General features: G+C 38.5%; 1 protein-coding gene across 21 annotated transcripts in view; it reads left to right on the plus strand.

Annotated features, from left to right (window-relative positions):
- Positions 1 to 12,501, plus strand: part of CAST (calpastatin) — an 813,255-nt gene that overhangs the window by 706,028 nt on the left and 94,726 nt on the right. For 20 of the 21 annotated variants that reach the window (NM_001423254.1, NM_001423259.1, NM_001423253.1 and 17 more), the window contains one exon: positions 8,083 to 8,145. The exons of the other annotated variant lie outside the window; for it this stretch is intronic. Coding sequence is in view for 9 of the 20 variants with exons in the window: in NM_001750.7 (NP_001741.4) it covers positions 8,083 to 8,145 (63 nt within the window). In the remaining 11 variants the exon portion in view is untranslated. The remainder of the gene's footprint in view (positions 1 to 8,082; positions 8,146 to 12,501) is intronic. 21 annotated transcript variants of the gene reach the window in all.

The following is a 12,501-nucleotide window of genomic DNA, read 5'->3' on the forward strand; positions in this document are numbered from 1 at the left end:
CCCCTTTGACTTAAGAAAAACTCATCCAGCCTTACTTCAGGTGAATCCCAGGAGCTAATCTATGACAGGCAATAGATGCCACCTCTGAAAATTGGACACAAAGGGCCTGTACCTTTACAGTGTCATCTTGTCATGTCCACTGAAATCTTAAAATGTTAGAAAAAACGAACACTTGGGGTTCAGTGAAAACAGAGGGATTTCAGAATTACAGCTATGCAGTTAATCCTTAATATATATTAAGCATTAGTACACAGAATAAGAGAAGAGTATAATGAGGCTGGGTGCGGTTGGCTCACGCCTGTAATCCCAGCACTTTGGGAGGCTGAGGCGGATGGATCACAAGGTCAGGAGTTCAAGACCAGCCTGGCCAAGATGGTGAAACCCCATCTCTACTAAAAATACAAAAAAATTAGCTGGGCGTGGTGGCAGGCGCCTGTAATTCCAGCTACTCAGGAGGCTGAGGCAGGAGAATGGCGTGAACCCGCGAGGCGGAGCTTGCAGTAAGCCGAGATTGCACCACTGCACTCCAGCCCGGGCGACAGAGCAAGACTCCGTCTCAATAAATAAATGAATAAATAAATAAATAAGTATAATGACCTCTTCATATACCAATCATTGGTGTCAATAATTGTCAACATTGTCCTAATCTTGTTTTATCTGTTAACCGTCACAGCTACCAGCACAGACACGCGTGCACACACACACACACACACACACCCTTTCAACATGTTTTAAAGCATGGGAATTGCAAATATAAGTCATCCTTGTAACCAAATTGCTGTAGTTTGTTGGGAAAATGAATTCTTTAACCCCCATGTAGTTTATCTCCTTGAGTGTTATACGAAGATGTGAGAATAATATATAATACACAGTCATGAGATAGACAAAGTACTAAACAAAAACTTAATCAGATGAACCTGATAAGGTTCCTTTGTACTTTAGGGAAAGTAAAATACTAAATTCTTCTGTTCTAATGTTTACAGCCTTAGAAAATGAAACCCTCAAACCTTAACTCACTGGCTTCTAATTCACCACAGTCAGATTGCCAGGGAAAAAGAAGGGAGTGAAATAATTTTAATTGTGTTCTTAAAATGAACAAGGCAATGAACCAGGTGCCTCACTAATGTCAACTCTTTTCATAAATTTGCCAGCCCCTGGGATAGATACCATTAGCCCTATTTTACAAAAAGAAACTGAAAAATTAAATTATCTGCCCAAGGTCACGGTCATATAGCCTTACAAATCTAGGCTGTTTCTGCCCTATCAGAGTTTATTGCAGTCAACTAACAGACAGAAATGACTCTGAGTATTTAAAACAAAGGGAGTGTAACATAGGGAATTGGTTACCCAGGTAAAAAAAAAAAAGGCTGGGAAGCCGTCAGGGGAGGGTGAGGCAACCCAGAGATTAGAAATTGCAGGAAGCTGCTACCATCCCTAGTCTAGAGGGACACAGGGAGGACAAGGGTCACCTTGCAGAAGCTGGAACCACAGCCAACCCATCCTGCAGGAGGTGCTACTGGAGGAGGGGGTGGGGCAAAGGGAATACCACCCACCCACCACCTCTAGTCTCCTGGCAGCGCCTGCTGTTGGCTAAACCCAACTTGAGGCCATCCATCAAGAGAATTGCAGCCAGCAAAGTTCCACTACAATTTGAACACAGCAGAAGTGGAACAAGGAATCCACCTGAAGGCAGACAGTTCTAGGATCTGCACCCAGGGAGACTGTTCTGAAGCAAAACCAGCTTTACAGAAGCTTTGGTCCATCTGCTTGTTTGCTGAATAATTTTGCTTTAGCAAGTAGAATACATATACAAATATATTTTAAGGCATTTTTGTGGGAAATACCAATTTGCACATTGTCTCTTAATTTTTCAAGCTACCTTCTTGGCCTCTTTCTCTTTTGTCTAGTTTACTGATCTGAAAAGAGCAAAATTACTTCTCAGGGAATGTTTATAGGTTTGTGGGAACATGGTCATTCAATCAAGAATTCTTTGTTATGGTCCTACCACACATCTAGGAAAAAAAGGATATAACTTACCCTGTGATTAGGAAGGCAAGATGTAAGTTTATAAAGTAATCAGTAAGCAAGAGAGTGTACAATAAAGTGCTAATTTGTTTGATTTACTGAGAAAATAGAGATTAATGTGCAAATATGAAAATATGATACTCCATTAATAGGGCAAAGCTCAGAATTTGACAGGAAACACTGGTGTAGACATAGGGCACTGTGCTGCTTCACTGACCAATCAGAGTTTACCCAGGAGGAGCCCAGAGCCACCCCAGTCTGCCTGACCCTGGGAACCTCCCCATGGGTGCCGACTCAGTGGGATGGTTTGAGGAGCGGAAACTTCCGCTTCCTATCATGGTGCCCATAAATCTTCCCCCAAAACCAGTGGTTCTCAATCCTGGCTGTATATTGGAATCATCTGGGGAACTTTAGAAAAATTTATCCATGGCAAGGCCCCATTCTATTCAAACTAAATCTAAATCCCTGTGCCCTGACACAAATGTTTCTAAAAGCTTCCCAGGTGCTTGTGACAGGCACTGAAGGATGGGACCCACTGCTAACCTGAAGTCTTTGTGATCCTCAGGAGCCCCTGGTAGAAGCCTTTCTCAGTGTGTGTGATGGTAGAGAGCTGAGTTCCATGAGCTCGGAGAGTCCAGAGGGTATCAAGATAACCTTTTATTGCTCCATGATTTTTCCACAGCTGTCCCTGGACATGCAAATACTATCTCGATGAAATTGTCGCCACATTGAAGAAGGAAAATGTTTAAGTTTTCAAATAAATCACCCACCAAGACATATGATACAATATGTTTTAGTATAGTCACAGGGTGGTCACAACCATCAGCACAATTTTACTTTAGAATGTTTTCCTTTCCTCCTAAAAGAAGCCTCATACTTTAAAAAATAATAATAATAAAGCAAAGGCATTTCAGAAGCACACTAGCATTTCATACTCTTTTCACAGCTGGACTTAATGCTGGCAAGGGCTGCTTTTCTGTCTTCTTGCTTCTTTTATATGTGAAGAAGTTTCTTTGATTTTTTTTTCTTTTTTTTGTGATGGAGTTTTGCTCGTTACTCAGGCTGGAGTGCAATGGCACGATCTCAGCTCGCTGCAACCTCCACCTCCTGGGTTCAAGTAATTCTCCTGCCTCAGCCTCCGGAGTAGCTGGGACTACAGGTGTGCACCACCATGCCCAGCTAATTTTTGTATTTTTAGTAGAGACAGGGTTTTACCATATTGGCCAGGCTGGTCTCGAACTCCTGATCTCCTGATCTGCCCACCTCGGCCTCCCAAAGTGTTGGGATTACAGGCGTGAGCCACTGTGCCCGGCCTAGTTTCTTTGATTTTTATCTTGTTTTGTGTGACATGTTCCCTTGGCTGTCTATGTATCTGTGTGTATCTGGGTAACAACAGGGCAGGTGCCCAAATGTGGCAGAGTTGAACCTTGCCCTGGCAGAAGCCCTTAGCTGGGTGAGAGCTCAGGCTCTGAGCCTTATTGCACTTAGCTCTTATTGATTTTTTTCAGATTTATGGGTTTGCTATGGCAGATTTTAAACGTATAGAGGCTGTCACCTAGAATGAGGACAAACGACAGTTGTAGTTGCCAACTATGTGATAAAGGGGGTGAAAACAGTTTGGAAAATTATTCCTTCTTGAGTTAAGATAGCAAAGCCCTTGATCTGATTTTTTTCTCTGGCTCTGAGCTTCTGGAGCACATACCACCTTCATCTTAGCCCCCATCTAGTCTCCTGTCTTCTATGGCCTTGTCCTTCCAGTGAAATTCTTTACTATGGCATCCTGTCCTGCTCTTCCTGTCTTTGGCCTCCTCTCTAGCTGCCAATACAGGACAGTATTGTGTGTTCAGTTCATTTATAAAACAAGTTTTAGAATAGGAAGTTTTCATGTTTTGTTATTTTTCGTGCCTTTTGTTTTGTTCTCATTTCAGATCACCCGCATGCTCTAAAGACTTTCTTGATGAAAATCCTAAGATCCTAGTTAGCTTTTAACTAGATCCAAAGTAGCCTAGTCTTTGGCCCATGTAATCCTGAGTGGTATCACCATGGAGAACATCGCTGTTCAGATCTTCAGTTGCTTTATTCATGAACCAAGGCGACAGTGGGTACTCCCTAGAGCTGCTATGGGTAGCAAAGAAGACCACATAGGAGATGCCTGGCACTGGGCCTAGCACAGAGCAGATGCTTAGGAGGTGTTAATTTCTTTTCTGTAATTAGTTTTGTGGTTCAGTTCTCTTTCCCCAGCTGTCAATCCTTCCCTGTTCCCTGCTCATCTCACTCTCCTCAACCCAGCAGTTACACGTAGTAGTGGTCAGCAGAGTTTTCTCTCTTCGCTCTTTAGAAAGACGCCTGCAGATTCCTGAGCTGGATCGAATTTGACATATGTCATTCCCAAGTATTTCATTCCATCCTCTCAGTTATGTGAAAAGTACTCAATTATTTCATGAATCTCTCTCAGTGAAAAGATACAATTGACTTTACATCATTAACAGACTGCTGAATATTGAATAATTTTCAATAAATGATCAGGGCAATGGTTAATTGATAAAGTTGTTATTTACTGGAAATACCTGTTAATTGTCTTAGGGTGATAATAGTATTGGGTATATAGCAATACCATTTGGGAAAATGTTCTCAAATTTAAGGAGATGCATGGTGAAAAGTTTAGGGTTAAAATTTCAGGATGTCTGTGATTTACTTTCCATTACAGGTATATAAAGACATGTAGTGCCCTCTTGTTCTCTCTCTCTGTCTCTCTCTCTCTCTCTCTTTCTGTGTCTGTATGTATGCCTGTGTGTGTGTATGCAAATAGGGCAAAATATGGCAACAATGTTAATAGTTGTTGAAATCTGAGCGGGGGGAATATGGGCATTCATTGTATTATTCTTTCAACTTTTCTGTCCGTTGGAAATTTTTCATAATAAAAAGCTGGGCTTAAAATAGGAACTGGGCCGGGAGCGGTGGCTCACGCCTGTAATCCCAACGCTTTGGGAGGCTGAGGGTGGATCAACTGATGTCAGGAGTTCAAGACCAGCCTGATCAACATGTCAAAACCCCATCTCTACTAAAAGTACAAAAATTAATCGGATGTGGTGGTGCACACCTGTAATCCCAGCTACTTGGGAGGCTGAGGCACAAGAATAGCTTGAGCTCAGGAGGTGGAGGTTGCAGTGGGCCAAGATCGCACCACTGCTCTCCAGCCTGGGTGACAGAGTGAGACTCAGTCTCAAAAAAAAAAAAAAAAAAAAAAAGAACTGGAAAAATGTAATTCATGAAGTTCTAAAAAAGTTGGCCTTTTATTATAAGTGATTTTTATTTATGTCATTATACTTTTGTGTATTTTAAAATGGCTTTCTATTGTGAGCAACTTTTTCTTTTGAAGTCAGAAAATAACAATGCTTATAGTACATAATTTTAAAGTTGTTATTTTAAGTTGTTATTTTAAGGGAGAAAAGGCTGTACATGCATTTACTGTGGGGTAATAAATTATGATATGTATTTGCCACATGAGCAGAAAGCAGAGTGAGACTCTGTGGAGAGCATGGAACCTTGTACCAGACAAGAACAAGTCACCTTTTAAAGTTTCTCTTTTGTGAAATGGAATAATTACACCTCCTGACAAGTAAATGAGGCACTCAAAATAGTAAACACCCAATAAAACAGTGGCTATTATTATTACTTATGTAATCTGAAAAAATATGAATTACAGATTATGGATGTGATATCATGGTTCTAAAATTACCAGTTCTGGAAGGAGACAGATTTGGTCATCTCTGTCTTTCTAGAATGATTTTTTTAGAGATGTTTAAAGAAAAATTTTAGACAAATTTAACAGAGCTTATTTGAGCAAAGGATGATTTATGAATTGGGCAGTACTGAAAATCAAAAGTGGTTCAGAGAGCTCAGTACACTCCAGCAGCATGAGCAGCAAGCTTTTATAGCTGAATGTGGAAGCAAAGTGAAGAAATTACTTGATTGGCTACAACTAGGCATTTGCCTTATTTAGGTATGGTCTGATGAGAGGTTTGTAGTTATATAACCAATAAGCTGGTTGGCTGGTTATGATTGGCTGAGGCAATTTTTGTTTTGTTTTAAGTCATTTACAAGAAATGCCTTCAAGTTAAATTTCAGTGTGCTTAGTAAGGTATCCGAGGACAGAGACCACCTCATGCTAATGGCCCCCTTATTTACTTTAACAGAGATAAGTAATATTTTCCCCTCAAGTCTGGCTTTTAGAAATCTTTTGCTCATCAATTATTCTAATATTTATCAATTGCCATATAGCCTTGATATATAAGTGGACTTTAAAATGGTTCATTTTTAAAAGATTCATTTAATTATTCAATAGATTGCCCTCAACTATGTACAAACAAACCCTTGACTAGGATGTATAGGTAAAAGAAGACCTGTAGAGGGTTTCACCAAGCTATTGCACCCTGGCTGCTTTTCAGTGGATGCCAATCACTAATCCATGAGAGTGTTTCTTCTGGGTAAGAATTGTAGAGTCACGAACATGCCTTTTGGCTAGTTGTTCATACAAAACACTATCGAGAAAGGATTTCAGCCACAGGTTTGGTATTCCTTGGCCATTTTTAGTAGCATATCTGTTGATATGATTAAAGAAAATATTATCTAATTCCATTTAGTGTGTTCTAGTGGCAAACAACAGATTTTAGTCTGCTTTGTGACCTTTTCCCATTTACTAGTTATGTTTCCTTGTAAACACCATCAAATCACTATTATTCTTAGTTTTCTCATTTATAAAACAACATGAGCTTCTTTTTTGTATCAAGACTGTATGGAAGTGCCTTGTATATAATAATAACATAAATTATTATTATTACTATTATTATTATCATTCTTCTTAATTCAGATAATTTCACTGACCTATATATCTAGGTTATGATTCTGCTTTAGGGAACATAATAGCATTTTATATTTTGATTCAATTGAGGATGATTAGGACTGAATCCAATGATGAGCTTTTATTTTTTCATATTTGGCTCCCTTTTCCCACTTTTTTGAACATCCACAGTGTGACAGAAATGGAATAATTCTTTGTGCCCCCTATTCAGGAACATACAACTATTTTTTCATTTCTCAAAACATTTCAGTAAAGTTATGGCTTATTTTATCTTATCGCCAAAACAAATGAATATGTAAGCTACTTGAAGCTTTTATACCCCACGTAAAAATATTTGCATTAGGGACAGTTTGATCACTGGGTATAAAGACAGTTATGAGGAATAAGATCTGTTGTTCTATTGCACAGTAGGGTGACTACAGTTAACAGTAATGTATTATATACTTCAAAATAACTAGAAAACAGGATTTTGAATGTCCTCACCACAAGAAATGATGAATGTTTGAGGCGACAGATTTAGTAATTAACCTGATTTGATCATTACCCAATGTATATTCAAAACATCACCTTGTACCCCATAAAGATGTATGATTGTTATGTGTTAATTAAAAATAAAATAACACTTTTAAAAATTGTATTTATCCTCGGTGTCCTAGTAAGAAAAATAATTCTCTTTATAGACATAATGAAATCTTAAGGCCATAACACATAGAAGAAGTTGCAGGTATGGTCTTTGTCCTTCAGGTTTTATCTTTCTGCATTGGTGGATACGCGGAAGAACTCTAGGGAATTCCCTTGGAGGACAATTGAGTCCATGCTGAACTGAGCCTTAAGTATGGCTTCAGATGAAACATGGTTCTTATCTCATCTCCTTGATGAATGAGATGTCTACCGTGCTGAAAACTTGAGCTTAAAATTCGTGAGGCATTTTGCAGGAGACAAGATGCCGCCTTGGCATCACCATCAGCTCTGCATCTAGTTAATTACAGACTGACCTTCTAGATTCCAAATGAATGTGTGTAGCATCCCTTGATTTTTGAGAGCCACCTATGTTGGTGTGAATTACCAGCATTCTCAGGAGGAAGATTAAAGTGGTCGTTTTTTAAAAAAGGGTATGCATTTAGCCTTTGGGGATTAAAGTTACTGTCATCTGTGTCATCTTCCTTTATTAAGCATTATTTTTTACTTTTTTATAGCATGTCAGTGAAAAAACCAGTGAATCGCCTTCCAAACCAGGAGAAAAGAAAGGATCAGATGAGGTAATTTCCACAATACTGGGCTTTCATTTTCTCTTGCTTTTAAACTGTGAAGTTTGCCTTGAAATATTAAATAACGATGTAGCAAAGAGCTTCTACCTTGCTTAATATTGGGAAATTTTGATTTAACCAAGATTTGGTTCAAGAATATAAAAGGAAATCACTAAAAATAAATAAAAAAAATTGTTCCTGGGAATAGAGCCTGTATGAATACTTTCCCTTTAGTAATAGAACTTTGTTGCTTAGGGTGTTTTCCCTATAGGAACTGGTGAATCCAAATTGTTTTGTTGGCGAATATGTCAAGTGTAGAAGGGAAAACAGTTGCTGTAGTAAAAAGGAAAATCTTTTTTTATGACAATAAACCATGAAAGGAGGACAGGGACAGCCAGATTAACCAGTCCTTCAGATTCATAAACAAAAGGAAGAGATAACTATTTTTATTGGCACAGATTCTGTGGAAAACTAGTAAAACCAAATCTCCCCACTTTGAGATGGGTTTTCTTTGAGGCTGTTTCTTCTTTTACTGAATGACATACCATTCTTTGCACTGTTTAGAATGACCTACTTCTCTATGGAAGGGTCATGTGAAAGTTCTGCCCTTCCAAAGGATACAGGATTTGCCTTCCTTTACCTGCTTTTTGTGTGTTAAATCTCAATATAACTGGATGATACATCCATCTTCATCCAGTAGAAATTGAGTCATTTCTAACTTGTAAACATCATATAGCCAGATTTTAAAAGGTACATGGAAATTTGGAAAGCATCAAGTGATCATTTTATTTTTCTCTATATTATCAACATTAATCAGGTGTTTTTCTGAAATTTAGTTCTTCTTTCTGCTTATTTTCTGCAGTTTCAAAATAGTCAATATGTAAGGAGGCTGTTACGGCTAGAACCTGCTATGCATTCTGTACTAAAGTTTATGCCTCCATTTTCTACCATTGTTTTCATCACCAGTACCCATGAAAATAATTTAGATTGTTTCTTACCAAGCAAGTTTTTAGTGAATTTTTTATAGCCATGAAAGGCAAATGTTTCTTTAAAAATACAAAGTAGAAGTAAACATATTAAGATTTCATCCTGTTTCCTGATTAAATTAATAAAAGATAAATTTCCATTAAAAAAAAAAACCACAAATTTTTCTTTTTCCCAACATGAAAGTCTACCTAGTGTCAGCCAGGCACGGTGGCTCATGCCTGTAATCCCAGCACTTTGGGAGGCCGAGGTGGGTGGATCACGAGGTCAGGAGTTCAAGACCAGTCTGGCCAACATAGTGAAACCCCTTCTCTGCTAAAAATATGAAAAATTATCTGGGCGTGGTGGTGTGCACCTGTAATCCCAGCTACTCTGGAAGCTGAGGCAGGAGAATCGCGTGAACCTGGGAGGCAGAGGTTGCAGTGAGCCGAGATCACGCCACTGCACTCCAGCTGGGTGACAAAAAAAAAAAAAGAAAAGAAAAGAAAAGAAAATCCACCTAGTGTCATTTAACTCATTTATCAACCCTACCCTTTAAATATATTTCCAGATAAGTTATTTATCAAATTAATATTGAGCAAATATTGAACACTTCCTGATTGAAAACCATTGTGTTCTTTTATTCTCCAGACCAGTAAACAATGTTTTTGGTTGTTATTCTCTATTAATGTTAATTAAGGTTATTTGCCTAAAAAGGAAGTTTTCTTTTCCAATATGGTCAAGTGGATGCAAAGCCAATACTAATATGGTCATTCTGGCCAATTATAACTGGGAAACTTAAATATTACACCTTGGATGTACAGGATGTACAGGCATTATTGGTATGTAACAACTGACGGTAGATAGTTAAGTATATAATGTCTGGATTATAATGTCTCTCATCTCCATATTTATAAAAGGTTTAGAAAGGAAAACACTGTTAAGAAGCCATGTTATAAGAGGCAGACTTTGATTTAAAAAATTGAAAGGCTGAACTTCTGGTTTAAAGAAGGAACAGCGAATTTTTCTTTTCTTTATTGGCATAGCAATTCTGACATTGTTTTATTACGTTTCTGGTAAATTCACATTCATGACCCCTGCCCTTGTGCCAGAGCCTGGACATACCAGTCTTTCAGCTTCTGTCCCAACCAGCAGAAGTAAAGAGGGGATAGAGACTTTGCTCTGTCCCCATGGCTTAAATCATGGCTTTAGACAAAATAAACATAACAGAATTTGTTTGGGCAAAGAATGATTTGTGAATTGGGCAGCATTCAAAACTGGAAGAGGTTTCTAGAGCTCTTCTCTCTCCTTAAATTCTGCCTGTATGTATTTGTTAAGGTGGCCAAGCATGGGGGTGGGTGACTTGGTAGTCAGGGTATATTTCCAAAATGGTCTGTCTCAAAGGGCCTCATTCTTTATGTTATGTGCAAATAAGTCATTAATGAGATATTGTGTCCTGGAGACAGTTCAAGGAAACTGTCCCACTTTAGGCATTATGTTAGCCTTGATGTTCATGATTATAAAACCATGAGCAATCTGAATTTGTTATCTGCCCTGCCTACCATCCATAGTTTGTTGCCATCTCCTTTTCTTCTCAAAATTACCAGAGAAAGACTTCCTGAAACTGATTATTTCTCCCAAATATTTTCTTACCTACTGCTCTGTTGAACAAAACGTGAGACTAAGAAGCTTAGTTTGGTTTTTAGTAATCCATTTTCAAACTGGCATGTACCCTCCAATGTTAAATAACTTACTGTCCCCAAGCATATGCAAATATACTGGTTAGCCCTCTGAGGACAAACCAGGGTCTTTGAAACAAAATCAGTTTGAAAATTTGCTTTCTATCTTCTTCACAGTTTTTCTTCTCTTTTTATTATTCTGCTACATTTCTATTAGAGATGCCAGAAAAGGGCACAGAGGAGGACTTTGGGAGGGTATAACCAGAAGAAAAAATTGATGAGGGTTAGGTGAGAACCACCGTTATATTGCCATATATAAAAATACATGGAGGGCCGGGTGCGGTGGCTCATGCCTGTAATCCCAGCACTTTGGGATGCTGAGGCGGGCAGATCACAAGGTCAGGAGATCGACACCATCCTGGCTAAAATGGTGAAACTCCATCTCTACTAAAAATACCAGAAAAAATTAGTCTGGCAAGGTGGCGCGCACCCGTAGTCCCACCTACTCAGGCAGCTGAGGCAGGAGAATCACTTGAACCCGGGAGGCAGAGGTTGCAGTGAGCCGAGATCACGCCACTGCACTCCAGCCTGGGTGACAGAGCAAGATTCTGTCTCAAAACAAACAAACAAACAAAAACACACATGGAGATGAATGTAGCCATGTGAATTTCAGAGTTCTTTCTCCCTTGCTATTTGTCAATAGTTTTTACTTTTTTGGAATATTACCCCAACACACAACCATTAAGTAATCCTAAGATACCTGCAGCAATTTTATTTTTATTTTTTGAGATGAGGTCTTACTCTGTCACCCAGGCTGGAGTGCAGTAGTGTGATCATGGCTCACCGCAGCTTTGACCTCCCCCGCTCAAGTAATCTTCCCACCTCCCAAAGTGCCAGGATTATAAGTGTGAGCCACCACGCCCAGCTACCTATAGCAATTGTAATAGAATGTTGAAGCTAATACATTTGTCATGCTGCGTTTGAAATACAAATACTTGAGGATAGGGTAAGGTAAGTGTCTGAGAGAATTTATTTATGTTTGCTTGTTTATACCAATTGTTATGAATTTTTCAATTCTTTCTCAGATGTAGAGGAATTACAGGACCAAAAGTTGCATGGACTAACAAGCCAAAGATAAAATAACTAGAGAGGAGGAAAAAGAAAAATGAAAACACTTAACATCAGCAACTTTAAATGCAGTAGAACAAATAAGTCTTTCCAAACCTGCAATCAAATCTATTTAAAGGATGAAACTGACACATCCGGCCACACTGAGAGAGTGTGAATCTTTTAGCAACATATTTCAGTAAAGTCCTGGGGAATGGAATTTAAAGTATAAAACGGGCATGATCTCAGAGAGCCAATTTTAAAAGCTTCAAATTTAACAATGGATTTATTTTTATGAGTAAAGAAAACACAAATAAAAGCGAACGGAAATTCTGCCTTAAAGGAAAAGATGTTTTTTTACATTTTCCTTACTCTAATGGCATTGGTGGCATGCTTTTCCTCAGTGTTTACCTCTCCTCCTTTTAGAATGCATGAATTCAATGTTGAATGACTCAAACATTTTTTTTTTACTTTTTTCTTTTAATAAAGTTAGACTTTTTTAATCACAAAAGTAATACATACTTGTGAAAAACAATATTACCCTGAGTCTTACCGCTTAAACTACTGCTCTAAACTTGTGTGTATATACTTAAATTAACGCGATAATGTCATGTATTTA

This window comes from Homo sapiens, chromosome 5 (genome assembly GCF_000001405.40).
Source record: "Homo sapiens chromosome 5, GRCh38.p14 Primary Assembly".
Taxonomy (NCBI): domain Eukaryota; kingdom Metazoa; phylum Chordata; class Mammalia; order Primates; family Hominidae; genus Homo; species Homo sapiens.